Source organism: Homo sapiens, chromosome 16 (assembly GCF_000001405.40).
Source record: "Homo sapiens chromosome 16, GRCh38.p14 Primary Assembly".
Taxonomy (NCBI): domain Eukaryota; kingdom Metazoa; phylum Chordata; class Mammalia; order Primates; family Hominidae; genus Homo; species Homo sapiens.
The window spans coordinates 59,227,153-59,248,711 of NC_000016.10; the positions used below are offsets into that span (position 1 = coordinate 59,227,153).

At 39.0% G+C, this 21,559-nt stretch overlaps 1 annotated feature.

Moving 5' to 3' along the window:
- Positions 9,782-10,324: an enhancer, noted in NCBI's record as "OCT4-NANOG hESC enhancer chr16:59270838-59271380 (GRCh37/hg19 assembly coordinates)". NCBI's record gives its function as "activates a minimal SCP1, AML or CMV promoter by ChIP-STARR-seq in naive H9 embryonic stem cells {active_cell/tissue: H9 hESC(naive)}" and the evidence as "EXISTENCE:reporter gene assay evidence [ECO:0000049][PMID:30033119]".

A 21,559-nucleotide genomic window follows, 5' to 3' on the forward strand; every position in this document is an offset into this window, starting at 1 on the left:
TTATTATTATCACCTAAAATGACTTGGAAGATAATTCAATCAGCTTGTCTTTAAAGCAATATGGTAATGTATTATTAGGTTTATGACATACATAGATGTATGACAATAAAAACACAAAAGCCTGGAGGGGATAAATGAAAGGATGTTGTCAGGTTTTTATGTTATTCATGAAGTGGTATAAAATCAATTGAATGTAGGCTGTGATAAGTTAAAGATATTATAAACACTAAAGTAACCACTAAAATACACAGAAAAAAGTTATATCTAGCAAATCAACAAAGGAGGTAAAAGAAAATCATAAGGAAAACTTGATACAAAATAAGGCAGAAAAAGAGAAAAAGGGAACAAAAAGCAAATGAGAAAAATAGAAAACAAAAGGCAAGAGGGTAGATGTAATGCAGATCATGCTAATAATCACAGTAAACGTAAATGATATGAACAGTATCCCCTCTAGCAGCCTGGGCAACATACTGAGACCTTGCCTCTACAAAAAAAAAAAAAAAAAAAAAAAAAAATGAGCCAGGTGTGGTGATGCGTGCCTGTAGTCTCAACTACTTGGGAGTCTGAGGTGGGAGGATAGCTTGAACCCAGAAGTTTGAGGCTGCCGTGAGCTATGATTGCACTGCTGCATTCCAGTCTGGGTGACAGAGTAAGACCCTCTTTAAAATCAACAGAAATTTAGAAGCATTAAACAATACTATCTACCATTTTTTTTTAAAAGAACAATTAAAAAAGAACAGTGTCCCCTCCCAATAAAATGAAGTGATTATCAGATTGGTTAAAAAAAGACTATATAGTAACTACTATATGTTGCCTGGAAGAAACCCACATTACATATAAAAACACAAACAGGTTTAAAGTAAAAGTATAGAAAGACATAACATGTTAACACTAAGCAAAAAAAAAACTGGAATGGCTTTATTAATATTAAAGAAGTATGTTTCAGAACAAAAAGAATTATCAAGAATAAAGAGGATCATTTCATAATGATAATAACATCAGCTTATCAAGAAGAAACACCATATTTATGCACCTAATAAGAGAGCTTCAAAATACACAAAGCAAATCTAATAGAACTGCAAGGAGAAATAAGCATGCTCACAATTGTGGTTGGAGATTTTAATATGCTTGTTTCGAAAATTGATTAAGTAGACAGAAAATCAGTAAACATTCAGAAGCATTAAACAACACTATCTACCAATTTAACCTAATTAACAATTATAAACCACTCTTCCCAACAATATCAGAATATGCATTCCTTTTTAAGTGTACATGGAACATTGACCAAGATTGATTGTATTTTAGTCCACTGAAAAAATTCAAAAAGATTAGATACATTAAGTCATAGAAAGTATGGTCTTTGATTGCAGTGAAAATAATTTGAAATCAATAACAGAATGTTATCTACACATTGGTATAGTATAGGAAGTTAAGAAAAAATAAATTTAAAATGTTATAAAAATCTTCCAATATCTGGAAACTAAAAAACAGCCTTCTAAAATAGGCCAAAGAAGAATAAAAGACAAAAATAAAAAGTAGTTTGAACAGAAGGAATATGAAAATATAACATCAATATTTGTAAGAAGAAGCTAAAGTATGTTGAGAGAATTTTATTTTTATTTTTTTTTTGAAGTGGAGTTTCTCTCTTGTTGCCCAGGCTGGAGTGCAATGGCATGATCTCGGCTCACTGCAATATCTGCCTCCTGGGTTCAAGCGATTCTCCTGTCTCAGCCTCCTGAGTAGCTGGGATTACAGGCATGCACCACCGTGCCTGGCTAATTTTGTATTTTTATGGGGTTTCTCCCTGTTGGTCAGGTTGGTCTTGAACTCCTGACCTCAGGTGATCTGCCCACCTCAGCCTCCCAAAGTGCTGGGATTAGAGGCATGAGCCACCATGCCCAGCTTGTTGAGAGAGTTTTTATAGGACTAAATGCCTACAAAGGAAAATGAAAACAAGGACTGACCAAGTCACTTTAAGGAGCTAGAAAAAGAAGAGCAAATAAAATCCAAGGTGGCCAGGTATGGTGGCTCACTCCTGAAATTCCAGCACATTGGGAGGCCAAGGCGGGTGGATCATGAGGTCAGGAGATCGAGACCATCCTGGCTAACACGGTGAAACCCCATCTCTACTAAAAATACAAAAAAACATATTAGCTGGGTGTGATGGCGGGTGCCTGTAGTCCCAGCCACTTGGGAGGCTGAGGCAGGAGAATGGCGTGAACCTAGGAGGCGGAGCTTGAAGTGAGCCAAGATCGTGCCACTGCATTCCAGCCTGGGTGACAGAGCAAGACTCCATCTCAAAAAAAAAAAAAAAAAAAAAAAAAATCCAAGGTAAGCAGTAGAAAGGAAATAATAAAAATTACATTAGACATCAATAAAGTAAGAAAGTAGAAGAAACAATAATGGAAATCAAGAATACTATAAGCTGGTATTTTAAGAAGATTAATGAAATAAATAAACTTCTAGCCAGACTGATCAGGAAAAAAAGAGAGAACACTCAAAATTAGCAATGTCGATTATCTGCAAGATGGCTGAATAGGAAAAGCTCCAGTCTACAGCTCCCAGCATGAGTGGTACAGAAGACAGGTGATTTCTGCATTTCCAACTGAGGTACTGGGTTCATCTCACTGGGGCCTGTCGGACAGTGGGTGCAGCCCATGGAGTGTGAGCCGAAGCAAGGCGGGGCATCGCCTCACCAAGGAAGCACAAGGGGTCGGGGAATTCCCTTTCCTAGCCAAGGGAAGCCATGAGAGATGGTACCTGGAAAATTGGGACACTCCCACCCTAATACTGCACTTTTCCAATGGTCTTAGAAAACGGCACACCAGGATATTATATCCTGCTCATGGCTTGGAGGGTCCCACGACCATGGAACCTTGCTCACTGACAGCACAGCAGTCTGAGATCAAACTGCAAGGTGGCAGCAAGGCTGGGGGAGGGGCGCCTGCCATTGCTGAGGCTTGAGTAGGTAACAAAGCAACCAGGAAGCTTGAACTGGGTGGAGCTCAATGCAGCTCAAGAAGGCCAGCCTGCCTCTGTAGATGCCACCTCTGGGGGCAGGGCATAGCTGAACAAAAGGCATCAGAAACTTCTGCAGACTTAAAAGTCCCTGTCTGACAGCTTTGAAGAGAGTAGTGGTTCTCCCAGCACGGAGTTTGAGATCTGAGAACGGACAGCCTGCCTCCTCAAGTGGGTCCCTGACCCCCGAGTAGCCTAACTGGGAGACACCTCCCAGTAGGGGCCAACTGACACCTCATATGGCCGGGTTCCCCTCTTAGATGAAGCTTCCAGAGGAAGGATCAGGCAGCAACATTTGCCATTCTGCAATATTTGCTGTTCTGCAGCCTCCGCTGGTGATACCCAGGCAAACAGGGTCTGGAGTGGACCTCCAGCAAACTCCAACAGACCTGCAGCTGAGGGTCCTGACTGTTAGAAGGAAAACTAACAAACAGAAAGGACATCCACACAAAAACCCCATGTGTACATAACCATCATCAAAGACCAAAGGTAGATAACACCACAAAGATGGGGAGAAACCAGAGCAAAAAAGCTGAAAATTCTAAAAATCAGAGCACCTCTTCTCCTCCAAAGGAATGCAGCTCCTCACCAGCAATGGAACAAAGCTGAACGCAGAATGACTTTGACGAGTTGAGAGAAGAAGGCTTCAGACAGTCGGTAATAACAAACTTCTCGGAGCTAAAGGAGGATGTTCCAACCCATTGCAAAGAAGCTAAAAACCTTGAAAAAAGATTAGATGAATGGCTAACTAGAATAAACAGCATAGAGAAGACCTTAAATGACCTGATGGAGCTGAAAACATTGGCACGAGAACTATGTGATGCATGCACAAGCTTCAGTAGCTGATTTGATCAACTTGAAGAAAGGGTATCAGTGATTGAAGATCAAATGAATGAAATGAAGTGAGAAGAGAAGTTTAGAGAAAAAAGAGTTAAAAGAAACTCACAAAGCCTCCAAGAAATATGGGACTATGTGAAAAGACCAAATCTACGTCTGATTGGTGTACCTGAAAGTGATGGGGAGAATGGAACCAAGTTGGAAAACACTCTGCAGGATATTATCCAGGAGAACTTCCCCAACCTAGCAAGGCAGGCCAACATTCAAATTCAGGAAATACAGAGAATGCCACAAAGATACTCCTCGAGAAGAGCAACTCCAAGACACATAATTGTCAGATTCACCAAAGTTGAAATGAAGGAAAAAATGCTAAGGGCAGCCAGAGAGAAAGGTCGGCTTACCCACAAAGGGAAGCCCATCAGACTAACAGCAGATCTCTCAGCACAAACTCTACAAGCCAGAAGAGAGTGGGGGCCAATAATCAACATTCTTAAAGAAAAGAATTTTCAACCCAGAATTTCATATCCAGCCACATTAAGCTTCATAAGTGAAGGAGAAATAAAATACTTTACAGACAAGCAAATGCTGAGAGATTTTGTCACCACCAAGCCTGCCTTACGGGAGCTCCTGAAGGAAGCACTAAACATGGAAAGGAACAACTGGTACCAGCCACTACAAAAACATGCCAAATTGTAAAGACCTTCGATGTTAAAGAAACTGCATCAACTAATGAGCAAAATAAACAGCTAACGTCACAATGACAGGATCAAATTCACACATAACAATATTAACCTTAAATGTAAATGGGCTAAATGCTCCAATTAAAAGACACAGACTGGCGAATTGGATAAAGAGTCAAGACCTATCAGTGTGCTGTATTCAGGAGACCCATCTCACATGCAGAGGCACACATAGGCTCAAAATAAAGGGATGGAGGAAGATCTACCCAGCAAATGGAAAACAGAAAAAAGCAGGGGTTGCAATCCTAGTCAGACTTTAAACCAACAAAGATCAAAAGAGACAAAGAAGGCCATTACATAATCATAAAGAGATCAATTCAACAAGAAGAGCTAACTATCCTAAATATATATGCACTCAATACAGGAGCACCCAGCTTCATAAAGCAAGTCCTTAGAGACCTACAAAGAGACTTAGACTCCCACACAATAATAAGGGGAGACTTTAACACCCCACTGTCAACATTAGACAGATCAATGAGACAGAAAGTTAATAAGGATATCCAGGAATTGAACTCAGCTCTGCACCAAGCAGACCTAATAGACATCTACAGAACTCTCCACCCCAAATCAACAGAATATACATGCTTCTTAGCACCACATCACAGTTATTCCAAAATTGACCACATAGTTGGAAGTAAAGCACTCCTCAGCAAATGTAAAAGAGCAGAAATTATAACAAACTGTCTGTCAGACCACAGTGCAATCAAACTAGAACTCAGGATTAAGAAACTCACTCAAAACTTCTCAACTACGTAGAAACTGAACAACCTGCTCCTGAATGACTACTGGGTACATAACGAAATGAAGGCAGAAATAAAGATGTTCTTTGAAACCAATGAGAACAAAGACACAACATACCAGAATCTCTGGGACACATTTAAAGCAGTGTGTAGAGGGAAATTTACAGCACTAAATGCTCACAAGAGAAAGCAGGAAAGATCTAAAATTGACACCCTAACATCACAATTAAAAGAACTAGGGAAGGAAGAGCAAACACATTCAAAAGCTAGCAGAAGGCAAGAAATAACTAAGATCAGAGCAGAACTGAAGGAAATAGAGACACAAAAAAACCCTTCAAAAAAAATCAATGAATCCAGGAGCTGGTTTTTTGAAAAGTTAGACTGCTAGCAAGACTAATAAAGAGGAGAAGAGAGAAGAATCAAATAGATGCAATAAAAAATGATAAAGGGGATATCACCACCGATCCCACAGAGATACAAACTACCATCAGAGAATACTATAAACAGCTCTAAGCAAATGAACTAGAAAATCTAGAAGAAATGGAACTGGATCCCTTCCTTACACCTTATACAAAATTAATTCAAGATGGATTAAAGACTTAAATGTTAGACCTAAAACCATAAAAACCCTAGAAGAAAACCTAGCCATTACCATTCAGGCCATAGGCATGGGCAAGGACTTCATGACTAAAACACCAAAAGCAATGGCAACAAAAGACAAAATTGACAAATGGGATCTAATTAAGCTAAAGAGCTTCTGCACAGCAAAAGAAACTACCATCAGAGTGAACAGGCAACCTACAGAATGGGAGAAAATTTTTACAATCTACCCATCTGACAAAGGGCTAATATCCAGAATCTACAAAGAACTTAAACAAATTTACAAGAAAAAATCAAATAACCCCATCAAAAAGTGGGCAAAGGATATGAACAGACACTCCTCAAAAGAAGATGTTTATGCAGCCAACAGACACATGAAAAAATGCTCATCATCACTGGCCATCAGAGAAATGCAAATCAAAACCACAATGAGATACCATCTCACACCAGTTAGAATGGCGATCATTAAAAAGTCAGGAAACAACTGCTGGAGAGGATGTGGAAAAATAGAACACTTTTACACTGTTGGTGGGACTCTAAACTAGTTCAACCATTGTGGAAGACAGTGTGGCAATTCCTCAAGGATCTAGAACTGGAAGTACCATTTGACCCAGCCATCGCATTACTGGGTATATACCCAAAGGATTATAAATCATGCTTCTATAAAGACACATGCACATGTATGTTTATTGTGGCACTATTCACAATAGCAAAGACTTGGAACCAACCCAAATGTCCATCAATGATAGAGTGGATTAAGAAAATGTGGCACATATACACCATGGAATACTATGCAGCCATAAAAGAGGATGAGTTCATGTGCTTTGTAGGGACATGGATGACGCTGGAAACCATCATTCTGAGCAAACTGTTGCAAGGACAGAAAACAAAAAAACGCATGTTCTCACTCATAGGTGGGAATTGAACAACAAGAACACTTGGACACAGGGTGGGGAACATCACACACTGGGGCCTGTCATGGGGTAGGGGAGGGGGCAGAGATAGCATTAGGAGATATACCTAATGTCAATGACGAGTTAATGGGTGCAGTACACCAACATGGCACATGTATACATATGTAACAAACCTGCATGTTGTGCACATGTACCCTAGAACTTAATGTATTAAAAAAAAAAAGAACAACTATATGTTGGGCATAAGACAATGCCCTATCATCAGAAACTTATAATTAAGTTAAATAAAACTTAATTATGACAAAAAAATTAAAATAATCTTAGCTAATTTGTCCTAGCTTATATTTCACGTGCCGTATTGGAACGTAAGATACACAACTAATGGGTTCTTGTATTTTGAGAAAAAATAATTTTTAGAGTTTCTTATAACTCCTGAACCAGCCACAAGTGCCCTTATTTGGATTTCATTAAGACAAAGGCCTACTTGGGCTACTTTTAATTTGCTTCTATTCTGTAATATGATACTAAATGCAGATGTCTTTCCAGCATTAATTTCTATCTACATGGCAGAATTTCATTAAGTTCGGCCAGCCCCATTTTAATTAAGCATCCTTACATTGGTTGTGCACTGTCTGTGCTTTTGACCCACCAGAACAAGCACTTAGTCAATTAACTCTTTTATTAACCAATTGATTTTTGCTGTAGGTCCCTACCTTCTGTTACCAGTTAGAAATGAACATGAAAGGCAAAGAAATTGGTTCCTTTCATCTCTAAAAGGCAACAATAAATAATAAAACATTTCAAAAATTTCAGTGGGGAACCTAAACACAAATAAAAAATACCTGCCATTTATTCTGGGATGTAAAAATGGACTGTTTGCGGTAGCATTGTATTTGAATAAATCATATTGTCACACTGACCTTTATTGATGTACTGTTTCCCAACTTAAAGCATCAATCCTGCTGCTTAAAAGATCTTTTGTTGTACAAGACCTGCAGATCCATCAGGTAACGAAATAATGATTTGCCAACTGTGGACTACCTAAATCAATAATTTAACAAGATCCTCAGTAGCTTCCTCCCAGCCGCTCACCCCACTCTATTGCCTATGTTTGCAATTTCAGTTATGCAATTTAATGCTGTCATTAGGGACAAAAAAATTCTATATAACTGAAGGAAAATACAGTGCATAGCATTTGGCGTCTCCAGGTTTTGTGTATTTCTAGAACATACTGTATGGCTTAATTTGAGTGAAACGACCATGGCTAGTAAAGAATCTAATTTTTGTTTGTTTGTTTGTTTGAGACAGGGTCTCATTCTATCGCCCAGGCTCACTGCAACCTCCATCTCCTGGGCTCAAGGGATCCTCCTACCTCAACCTCCCAAGTAGCTGGGACTACAGGTGCCCGTCACCTCACCCAGCTAATTTTTTTTGCATTTTTTGTAGAGATGGGGTTTTGCCATGTTGCCCAGGCTGGTCTCAAACTCTTGGGCTCAAGTGATCCACCCGCCTTGGCCTCCCACAGTGCTGGCATATAAATCTATTTTAATATAATTATTTTAGGCAAATAAAATTGTTCCCAGAGGAATCAAAGGGCTTAAACTCAATATACCCTTCCCCCAATTTTGTTTTGGGTCAGAATGATTTATGCAAATATAAAAAATGTATTCTTCTAAAGCCATCATTGGGATAGATATGTGTGTATGCTAATTCATGAAAGTTGGACCTAATTTGGAATATGTAGTATGCTTGTTTACCCTAATTACTTACAAAATACATATTTAAAAAAGTAAAAGATGGATGAAAGGCTTTCTACGTCCTCATTCTCTTATAACAACTATTCTTATTGTCAGTATTCTCCCAGTGGAAAAGGGTATTTAACATACAGGTTTTCTAAGAACTCAAGAGAAGGACGTGGAAATCTGATACTTTTACTAGCTGGCTGTGTTATCTTAAGCAAGTACTATTAACTGATTGAGTCCAGTTTCCTCATATTTCTTCCTGAGTGTTTTATATATGCCCTGTTTAACTTTAGAGTTAGCTTTGAGGTTCTGATGATACTAGTGTGTTGGGGCTCAGAAACTGACACTCCAAAATACGACATTGTGACATGTTGAGCTGAAGAAACCTCAAGATCTCTCTAATCTTCCCCCTGCTACTCACCATCTCTTCCAAAGAGACTGAAGTTCCTTCATCTGCCTAATATCCAGCCTCACCAAGGAGAATAATTGTTTTTTCTTCCTCTCCCTGTTATTTCCTTATTTATTGTGGAAAAGAAGACCAAAATGTGACCACACCTGAACAGATTTTTTTTATGAGTATAATGACAGTCTTCAAAGATCATTTAAATTCCAAAGAGAGCTGTTTCCAAGTTTCCTGCTCCAATCATTCTCCCCAGTAATTATTTATTACCCATCAATAGAATTTTTTTCTCCTACTCTCATAACCTGTTTTACCAGGATCCAAGCTCCCCTTCTTTCTATAGCCTCAAGACAATATGTAAGTTTCTGTAACTCATTGGGAAGTTGAGTCTTCATACTGAAGGCTCTGGGGTATACATGCTAAATAAATTCATATGTCTTCTCCTATTAATCAATCTGCCTCATGTCAGTGATTTCTTAGAGAACCTTTAGAGGGCCAAGTGTCTAAGGCCCCACAATAGTAATACCAATGGTCATTCGTCACTGAGCATCTACTGTGTTACAGGTACCTTATAAACATTACCTATAACCTTCACTATAGCCCATTAAGATCAGTATTATTATCCTCATTTTCCAGCCAAGGAGCCAGAGGTGTTAAGCAATCTGTTTAGGGTTGGCTGGACTTACCTGGCAGAAGTGAAATTAAAATCAAGGCCTGCCACACACTGTCTTATGCTTCTCCTGCTCTGCCATACTGCCTCTCCATGATATAATGTCTATGAAAGTGCCATGGAAAAGCTAAAGGATTAGATTAGACAGATGCACAGTGGTATTCTATCCATTATAGTGATTAATAGGCTTCATGAAACGTAGGACCTGACACTCAGAGGTGATGTTGCCTTTTCCTTGAATGGGAGTTGCACTATGCTGTTAGACATATAATTATAGTGCAGTTTTTCAAAGGCAAATTTTTGTCACCATCTTTCTGCATGGCCTTGCTAGCTCTCCAGGAGAAGCAAAAAATAACAACGCTGATTGATTTCCCTTTGCCACTTGCTTCAAGTGGTTTCCATTTTAATGCCCGTCCCAATTGGGCTTTCATTGTCATTCGGAGCTGCTGGTATTTCAGCCTCCACATAGGCTAAACAGTTGGGCTCCTCAGCAAGTTCAAAATGTCTGCACAGCAGGGAAAAAAAACATGCTATCTTTTCTAAAAGCTGTTTTGGTGGTTCTATTAGAAGGCATAACTCTTTCTCTTTTATATAGTAGTAGGGAACAGTCTTGTCATTCCCTTCACCCCTGACCACCCCTCCAAAAAAGAAAAGCTTTTAATTGATGAAATTTTCAGAGATTTCTGTGACCAAACTCAAATGTCACAATAATACAAGGTCAACTGATTTGAATTGTTATGTTCTTTATTAAATAGCATATCTGTGGATTCCAAAACCTAGATGAGAAAAAAAGATCCATTTTATAAAGTGCACTCATGCTATTTCATGACAAAGTAGAAAGGTTACACAGAAGTTTTACAAAATGGCTTACATAGTGCAATGTTATTACCTAAGGCTGGGAAATTATACAATCCTGGTTTGCATCCCAACTCTGGACACAATTTCCTGTGTCCTTGACTGAGTGCAGCCTTGGATCCTAAGGATGGTGGGAATATTTGTTTCTTTAACAAGTAGGTTGCCTCTTTTGAATATCTTTCAGTTGACTCTGGGTACTTTAGACATTTTCTGTTTTTTATCTTACTTCTTCCTCTAGTGATGTCAATCAGGCACACAAACTTTATCGAGTATATACTATGATGTAGGCATTAGACATCAAAAGAAAATGACTAGGCAGCATGTAGACGTGGGCAGCTCTCTCTGTATCTGCATTACTTACTGTGTCATGTACTGGATTAATATATGTTAGACTGAGTTGGTAGGTTACATCTCACTGAAACCTCCTTTGCAAAATTATGACAGTAAGAGAAATATGACATAACTGACTCCATCTCGTTTCTGACCTCCAAGCTGCCCTTGGTCATTCCTGGGCATAAGCCAAGTAACTTTAGGTAGAATTTAGTTTATAATTTTACTTAAAAGCAAGGACAATAATAGTCCCTCCCTAAAACTAACCCCGCTCCTTGCTCAGGGACCAAAAACTGCCTTTATAGGACTAATGAAAGGCCACAAGAATAAGATTATGTGAGAGGCCTGAATTCTGCTAAGTATGAAGGCATAGTTTCTATAACCCATTACTGCTCAGGAGTCATGTGGCCAGAGGTCACAAGATTTGAGACTTCCCTAATTTCTCCTATAGATAACATCACAATTGTGGAAGCTAAGATTGCTTTTTTTGAGATATTTTTTAGACTGACCCCATCCAGACTTGTGACTCAATTGCCCCTATAGCCCCACCCAGAGACCGACTCAGTGCACGAGGAAGGTTTCCCACACCCCTGTGATTTCATCTCCACCCAATCAGCAGTACCCATTACCTAGCTCCTTGCCCATCAAATTGTCCATAAAAAGCCTAACTTTTAAGCCCCTAGGGAGACTGATTTGAGTAATAACTCCAGTTCTCCTGCATGGGCCAGTCTTGTGTCAATTAAACTCTTTCTGTACTGCAACGCTGAGATCTCAGTGAATTGATTTTGTTTGTGCAACAGGCAGGAAGAATCCATTGGATGGTTACACTACCTGGGACAAAAGAGGAACCATGCACTAGACAAAGCTACATTTAGGTTAAAAAAAGAAACCTGACTATTTGAGGGGTGGACGGGAGGCTTGTCTGCTTCCCATTTGTCCTCCCCTAACAGGTAAAACTACTGGCAGTCTAATTTATAAATTGTAAACGAATTGGGTTCTTAAAGCTGTCTTTGTAATAGGAAGAACAAAGAATTTATGCTTTATTAACTACCAGCAAATAAAGCAAAAAGGCAAAAAAAAAAAAGTCCAAGTTGAGAAGGAGGAGAAAAAGTATGTGTTCTATTTTTTTCTACATCAAATCCAGGCAATATTTTGTAACAGAAGTTTAATTAGCTATCAGATTTCTCTGAGTTCAGTCCCCTTGCTCAATTTCTTGTGATCCTCTATTCCAGTGCTTAGAAATACAGGTTCATTATTAACTGTTGGATCATCACTAAAACACCCTACTGTGCTCTACCTAAACTTCAAAGTGCTTAATGGCACCAAATAATTATTTCCTAATTCCAATCAAATTTATTATTCTATCACTATCAGTTAATATTTAACAGATAGATTTTTATTAAGTTAATTTATACCAATATATAAATGATTAATATCCCTTTAATGTTCCTGTGATAGTTTCTGTTTTGAAGATGAATGCCTGTTATCACAGAGGGTATCCTAGAGATATGCAATTAATGAAGTCTGAGACAAAACTGCAGAAAGTATTATATAAAGGGAATTTTATCAAAACATTTTTTAGTAACTCATTTATTTATTTAACTGCAACTTTCTATGTATGAGACTGTGTTGGAAACAATATACAAGACAAATTTCGCCTATTTGTAACTTCAATTTAAAGAATTTCTCCTTCCAATAGAGGAAATAGATCATTAAAATAGTGATAAGTGCAATTGTAAAGATATAAGAAGTCATTTGGCACATATTTCAAACGTTTTTCCTTCCAGATAATCTTTTCTGGATTTTCAGGTTCAGGTGAGTCTCAAAGGATGAATATGAGCCAGCCATAGAAAGAAAAATGGGAATAAGGAAGTGGGAAACATGTTTTGGTCAAAGGCATTGTACAGGTCAGAGTCTCAGCAGGTAGCACACACCATAGGGATGATCAAGGAGACTTTAACAGAGAGACCACTTATGAACCTACATGCAGGGTCAAGAGAAATCAGCAAGGGAAAAGCTAGGAGCTGTAACCACCCTTAGGCTTGAAGGGGCAAGAGGACGGAACAATTACCTACACTGAGCAAGACCTGTAGCCGTGGCCCTGAAGCAGAAATATGCCCTTCATCAGAGAAACAATAGCCGTTGCCAAATCATGGCCTGGTAGGAAAGAAGCCAGGGAACAAATATCCTGACTTATCCTTCTTCTAGCCCTCTGATATTCTAGAGTTTCCTATAAGCCGAAGCAACACAAAGCCAAAGGGTGTGAGAATCGTGTTCTTCTGAAGCTAGAGAAAGAAGAAGAGTGAAACTGGAGGGAAAAAATTAGGACAACCTGCTGGGCATTGTGGCTGACGCCTGTAATCCCAGCACTTCAGGAGGCTGATGTGAGTGGATCATTTGAGCCGGAAGTTCAAAACCAGCCTGGACAACATAGGGAGAACTTGTCTCCATAAAAAAAAAAAAAAAAAGCCAAGCCTGGTGGTATGCACCTGTGGTCCTAGCTACTCGGGAGGCTGAGGCAGGAGAATTGCTTAAGTCTGGGAGGTCGAGGTTGCAGTGAGCCGAGATTGTGTCAGTGCACTCCAGCCTGGATGACGAAGTGAGACCCTGTCTCCAACAACAACAACAACAACAACAATAATAACAACAAAAGCAAAAAAAAAAAAAACCCGGCACAGACATGGAGAGTTTTAGTAAATCAAAATCATTATGAATTTTCTCTTGCTGGAGCATAAGTTCTGAAGAGGAAAGTGGCAAGAATAAAAACAAGTGTGATCCTATGCCTTACATGCCTGGAAACTTTCCATAGTTTTTCATCACCATTTGAATAAAGCTTGTAACATGTCATAAAAACCCATCAGGTTCTAGCCTGCTCTGTGAAGCTCCAGACTTACAGGTGATTCTAGAAGCCCTGATGAGGGGGAAGTGGAGCTGGCCTGGAGGTGAACACAACAATTTGTGATCTAGGAGAAAAATGATGACTACTTGAACTAAGGCAATTGAACTAATGGAAATTAAGATGGTAAGGAAGATCAAGCTTTGAGAATGTGTTGAAAATAAAATCATTAAGACTTAGTGGTTGAAGTGTAGGAAATTATAGCCAGGTGGCAACGGGGACTATCAGATTTCTGGTTGTTCACCAGAGGGATGGAACTGCCAAAAATCAAATGAAAACATAATTAAAAAGTTCGAATGTTCCTTTGCACATATACAGCAAATAACTGATGCTCAAGTATAGTATGATGTGTTCAGTAGAGATTTGGGTTGGGATATAGATTTCAGAGGACTCGCCATAGGAAATGTGCAACATGCATATTCCTAGAACTGCCAATAACTTGGAGATGGTGTAGTAGAAGACCATATGGCAAACAGAAAGGAAAAATAGTCTCCTAGTATAAGAAGAATGAGGAGAGGGAGTGGTTAAAAACTCTGTTGGACATATCAGTTAGAAAGCCATTGGTGACTTTTGGAAAATGCGGCTTTACTGGAATGGTCAAATACATGATCATGGAAGTTTGAGGAGTAAAAGAGAGGTTCAGACATGGAGGCAATGGGTACAGACAATTCCTCTGAGAGGGGAGATACAATATGGGTGATTAAGGAAGACTCAGAGTCAAGGAAGAGGATTGATAGATGAGCAAGGGAGACCTGCTTAATTGTTGCTGAGAAAAAACAACAGTGGAAGAAGATTTGAAGATACAGGGTACAGAATGTATAATAGATGAAGAGCTGAATTAAGAGTTGACTCGACAAAGTTTGGGTATTTAAAATTTCAATGGATATTGATATTTCCACATTAGGTATATGAAATGTTTTTAAATTGATTTTTGGGACTGCAATACAGTTACAACTGAATGATAAAATTGTTCCCATAGTCTGTCTATATAAGTAGAAATCCAAAACCATTGTCAGAAGCAATTAGAACATATTTATAGAACAAGTAATTTATTATTGTATTAAATTATAATAATATAATAAGTAATAATTTATCATTATTATTGCTAGTAAGCAGCCAGAGGATGGAAATGACTTGCCAGAAATTGTAAATGCCAAGTAGGGTCTAGAACTGAGCATCACCACTTCTGATTGTGCTCATAATTCCCACTCATTCTTAGCCTTTATTTTAAAATCAACTTAGGTTTTACTGGTTAAATCACTTCTCTTTCTCTCTTTGTCTCTTTCTCTCTGTGTATTGGTGTGTGTTCTTTACTTTTCTTATATATAGACTTTTACTTATTTTACTTTTCACAAGTTTGCTCATTAAAAATATGAAGCCATTCTACTCCATCCTACCCTGGCCACTAAATTAATGAACAACATTAAAATGCATATTATTAAAATCAAGTAGTGGCTAAGAGTGTGGGTTCTGAACTTATGCTACATGGGTTCAAATCCTATCTCAGCCACTTAATGGCTATTTAACGTTAGACAGTACTTAAATGCTGTATGTCTCAGTTTCACCATCTGCATATTAAATCAACATATTAAATCATAGCCATGGGAGGATGAAAGAGCAAATGCATGTAATTAACACAAAACAATGCCTGACTTTAAAAAAATAAACTGATGTTTATTTTTTTTTCTGAGTAGTAGCATGGGTGGTGGTACCAGTAGTTACACTGTGACTAGATCAAATAATAAGTCAAGTAATAATTTGCTCAGGAAAATAATCCACTTTCATTAAATAAACTCTTGTCGTGCCATATGGTTCATATTCCAAGCAGACAATCCTTCCCAAACTGGGCAAACATCCAGCCAGCCATAGTTGTAAGACGAAATAAAAAAAGATATAGATCCAGGCAAACAAAACTGAGTTTCTATTAGCATCAGTATTAGAAGAGTCTTTTCCTGGAATCGCGTGATGACAGCTATCATCTTCTGCACTCTGCCTCAACCAGGGAGGAGAAATCCATTGGGCAGGGTAAATGACCTGGGGCTCACCACAAAGTACATTGTCTCTAAATGTGAAGCTCTGTGTTCATAGGGGATAAGTTTTTCTGACTCGGTGTGTGGTTCTCGTTCATGCTGGCTAAGACTGAAAACTTGGGCAGCTAAAATGTGGTTATCCTCTTTTCAAATAGAAAGTCTGGTCTGCCTTGAGCTCTAAATTCTATATTCATGCCTTCCTATGCCCTTATCATTCATATCAATGAAGATAGAATGTAAGTAGCAATGGGTATTAAATCATTTGAATGCGTTAAAAAATAAATCCTCATATCTTTTCACTTGGCAAGATATATTTGATAGCTTATCTGCTCTGGCCAAAGATTTCCTTTGACTAATATTGAATCTCCCCATATCTTGTGGGTAGATGGGGGTAGGGTTTCTGCTGGAGAAACTGTCAACCAAAAATGGAAAATTTGGCAATAAACCTTCCTGCTTGGTATTGGAGTTTCAGCACTGTGTTCCCTGTTTGTCTGAAAAGAATGAACTATGCTTTATATCTGATTTTTCAAAGGTTCCAAAGATTATGGATAGGCCAAAAGTGATTCATGGTCTATCATTTAAAATATTTGATGAAATGGAATACGTTTAGAAAAGAGCTGAAAAAATTAGGGGCTCTAGAGAACTTCATTCAGAGCAATCATAAACTCTTTGGAAGACAAAACACAATTCAATCTTTCCAAAAATGTGTTCCTTGAGGCACAAACTTTTTCAGAGTACGGGCAGGGGGAATTCATGGTCAAATAAGTTTGAGACACACGGAACAGTAATTATTCCTCTTAAATGTACCTTCAACACAAAAAGAAGAACTATGTTTACCTTTGCTGTTTTCAACCCTTATACAAAAACACTCATTTCAGATTTTTTTTAAAGAAACACTGATTGATATCCCATGGATCAATCTAGAGTTCTGTTGAATACACTGTCAATTGCTTAGATTGAAAAAGTATTCCGTTTGTAGTGAGTAGAAAGTAGGAAGCCACTATGTCAGATTTTCACAGCATCCTTCAAAAGAGTGTTCTAGGAAACCTCTCAATGACAAAGTTTTCCTATATTGATTTCCATTTTGTTCAGTACTAAAGATGGATCTTTCATCAGCAAGAACTCTGGAAAAGATGATTAAGATGGGGACACTTACCCTCTCTGAACTAAAAATTATTAAAATTTAATTTAGGTTTAATTTACTTTATATATTTGAAGGTTTTGATTTGCATTTCTCTAATAAACAGTAATGATGAGCTTTTTTTTTCATATGTTTGTCGGCTGCATAAAAGTCTTCTTTTGAGGAGTGGCTGTTCATATCCGTCACCTGCTTTTTGGTGGGGGTGTTTGTTTTGTTCTTGTAAATTTGTTTGAAGGTGATATTGTTATAGTCATAGCTTTAAATTTCTTTTTAACGTTTCAAGAAGTCTCATACCCACTCTCTTGACCAAGAGAGAAAGGGATAGAATTACAACAACATTTTTTGGTGATTACGTGACTTTCTCTCACTAAGTATGTCCTGGCAGGAATAAAAGGGCTTATAATCATTGGGGTGGTGGGCAGCTGTGATGAGGTGGTTTAGAGTCAGACTCAGCCTTCTCTACTGGCTTTGAATGGTGAACCATAGGAGGTGTATTATTGCATTTTTCTGAATATGAGTTTCTCCATCTGGATAGCAAGGATATATTACTGCCTATCTTAGAATGCAGAATAGTAGAATTAGAAATTCTACTGGGAATAGTAGAATTAGAAAATTTAGGTAAACTGCTTGGTACATTCAGGTGCTCATCAAATATTGGTTAGTTTAGTTTATATTTTTTTCCTGCACAGCAGTGATTCTCAACTGGGAGCAATTTTGTTCCACCAATCACACCCCCAGAGGACACTTGGTGATAATATCTGGAGGCATTTTTGGTTGTCATAACTGAGGGGAAGTGCTATTGGGGCCTGGTGGGTGGAGGCCAGGGATGCTGGTAAACATCCTGCATATACAGGAAAGCCATCATAACAAATAATTATCCAGTCCCAAATGTCAACAGTGCCAAGACTGAGAAACTGTGCTCTATAGCAGGGTAATGACACACCGTCTGCTTCCACTACCAAAGCAGACGGTATTTAGCTATTCCAGCACAGATCAGAGCACGTAGAGGCATCTCTTAAGGGGAAAAGAAACAACACTTTGGAGACCAGAAGCATTCAAAATCATGAAAGTTTAAATTCTGAATACTGTATTCATTTTAATCAATTAGCAGTAATGAATGCACTGTGTTACTTATAAACAAAAGTCAGTGACAAAGAAAACTCCAAGAAAAGAAAAAAGAGACTAGAAAGTGTTCTGCAGATCTAGCAAGTTAAAAATGTTGAACTTCCTTTACCCCCTTTTTGGCCATTGAGCATGTTTATTTCCCTATGGAGTTGGAGAATCCGCTTGATTTCAATAAAAAGATCTACCATATTGTATGTCTAAACTGTGCTTTTTACTTTGAGAAAATCAGGCATTAAAATCCATGTCATGAAACTCTGGGGGACATTTTGGCTTTCAGCACAGATATGTTAATAACACTAGACACTTTGAGATGCCATGCTGCATACCATAAAATAGTAATAAGGGGACTAAAAAAGAGGAAAGTGTATGTGTGTGTTTTGTGTGCACATGTGTTATTTCCCTTGCATGCACACACACACTTAGTATTTGCTTGGAGATGCTGTATATAGCATCATTTAAGTTAGCTGTAGTTCACATCACCAATAATTTGGAAAAACTTTAGGAAGGACAGAGGTTTATTATTTTTAAAATGTGGTAAGTTACAAGCAAAAGTAGAGAGGCTACTTACAGGAACAGTTTGATTTGCCTATAATGCAACTCCAGTGAGACAGCAAGATAGAGTATTGGTTTTTTAGAGTTTTGAGCTCTACAAACCATTTGAAAGAAACTAAAGAATCAAGGTGAAAGAAGAGAGAGTAAAATTTTTAATAGATAAGCACTTACTTATAAGGAAGCATTTCTTTTGAAAATTGGAAGATATATAGAGAAGCCCTAAGGCATTCTCACACATGGAATAAAAAACAAATGTAGGTGTTTTCAAGGAGAATAAGAAGATAGCAGGATCCAGTAAACTCATCTTTCACTCAGTTTCTGATTAGATGAATACAAACAGAAAGGCAATCTGCTAGCGTCCTCCAAACCTAGAATGCAGACATCTTCAATCTGGGCATTGATGGCATTCTTTACCCTCAGCAAGGAAGACTTGTTCTGACCTGTTCATTTGGATTTCAGTGCCTTTTTAGGCCAGATTCGCCAGATTCCCTTTTGATCTTTCCTTTGCTTGTTAGAGCTGAGATTCCAAAAAAAAAAAAAAAAAAAGAAAGAAAATGTATTCACTTGAGCCCTGATATAGTGGCTTTCCAAATTATTATAATATTAGGTCTTCATTATTGCAGCTCTGGGAGCTCAGAAAAATCACTTCCTCTTTCAATGCCTCATTTTCTTCATCTGTAAAAAGGGATATTATTATTAATAGTGGCAATCCCAGGGAATAGTTTATGGGAATTAGATGTGAAGCTCTGAGCACAGTGTCTGGCACACACAAACCCCCATATTGCTTGTTGTGGTTGGTATTGTTAATTTTATTTTTAGTATCATTATTATTTAGGACCTCTAATTATCTCTATAGATGAGACACTCAGTGTCATCCAAACAGTCATCAAACATTTGTTATTGTACTATGACATTCTACAGAATTTCCCAGGCGTTGAAATTTAGAGAAATGATAAAACAATCTGCCATCAAGGAGCTTGCAACAGGAATGGAGGCAGGCACGGAGGCATGATAGCATTATCATGCACATGCGATATGGCTGTCCTATCAGGCTGGCAGCAGAAAGGGGTATCAAAAAAGGATTGTTGCAGGAGGTGCACTTGAACAGGTCATGCTATATAATGTAATTTGGATGTTTGTCCTCTCCTAATCCATGTTGAAATGTGATCCCTGGCCAGGCGTGGTGGCTCATGCCTGTAATCCCAGCACTTTGGGAGGCCGAGGTAGATGGATCACGAGGTCAGGAGTTCAGGGCCAGCCTGGCCAAGATGGTGAAACCCCGTCACTACTAAAAAATAAAAACTACAAAAATTAGCCGAGAGCGGTGGCAGGCACCTGTAATCCCAGCTACTTGGGAGGCTGAGGCAGGAGAATCGCTTGAACCCGGGCGGCAGAAGTTGCAGTGAGCCGAGATCTTACCACTGCACTCCAGCCTGGGCGACAGACAGAGTGAGACTCCATCTCAAAAAAAAAAAAAAGAAAGTGATCCCCAATGGTGGAGGTGGGGCCTAGTGGGAGGTGTTTGGGTCATGAATGGCTTGGAGCCCTCTCCTTGCTGATGAGTGAGTTCTCTGTTAATTCACTTGAGAGCTGATTGTTTAAAGGAGCCGGCATTTCCTCCTCTCTCTTGCCCCCTCTCTCACTGTGTGACACACTGGCTCCCCTTTGCACTCCTCCATGATTGGAAGCTTCCTGAGGCCCTCACCAGAAGCAGATGCTGGCACCATGCTTCTTGTACAGCTTGGAGAACCATCAACCAAATTAACCTCTTTTCTTTATAAATTACCCAGGCTCATGAACTTTTTTATAGCAATACAAAATTGACTAACACACTATACAAATAGAAATTAGCTAGGGGAAGTGGATTCGGTAGGGTATGATATGGTGGTGGAGGGAAACAGCATAAAGAAAAGCCTAGAGGTCATCTACAGGCCTCCTCAACTGCCACCCATTGATGTATTTCAGCCTCAATTAATTATGAACAAACATAGTAAGTGCCCTTCCCTTTTACAGGACAGGTACAATATCCTAATTTGACATGCATAACCATATTCAATCTTCATCATTCCCTTAATTAATTAATTTATTTAGAGACAGGGTCTCACTGTGCCACCCAGGCTGGAGTGCAGTGGGGTGATCATGGCTCGCTGCAGCTTCGACCTCCTGGGCTCAAGTGATTCTCCTGCCTCAGCTCCCCAAGTAGGTGGGACTACAGGCATGCACCACCACTCCCAGCTAATTTTTGTATTTTTTGCAGAGATAGGGTTTTGCCGTGTTTCCCAGGCTGGTCTTGAACTCCTGCACTCAAGCAATCCACCAGCCTCGGCCTCCCAAAATGTTGGGATTACAGGCGTGAACCATCCTGCTCAGCCTGTTCGTTATTATTATTGTAATTTTACAGATGTGAAAACCAGGGCCACAGAAAATGTAAACTTCTTGCCCAAGATTTCAGGGGTACTCAGTGGCAAAGTCAGGGTTTGAAACCTACCCAGTCTCTGCTTGTAACCTACTTGAACAGTATAAAATACTGTGACTAAGTAAGTGGCCTTTAGTTTTCAGACAAGGCCACAGAAATCAAACCCAGTTCTTTCTGGCATCAGTAGCCCATTTGCAAGTTTGGTGCAGTGGCGAGGCCATCTGTTGTGAGGCCAGCAGACCAGGCTTTTCCCATGCCTTGCAGGCAGGGTGAAGAGCCCATAGAGAGAGCTGAAGCTCTTTCCTATACCAGCTGAAATCACTCAAAGACTGTGAAAAATGTCAGAGGACCTGTCGGTCTTCATCAGCAATGACTTTATTATCGCACCTTCTGGTGCATCTTGTACCCTCAGTTACCGAAAGAGACCTGAACAATCGGATCAACACAGCACACATGCGGTGAAGCAGAGACATCACAATTAGCCAGGGATGCATTCCTTCTGCATTTTCCCAAGTTAGCACTGTCAGACGTAGGAAATAAAAATACAAGACAT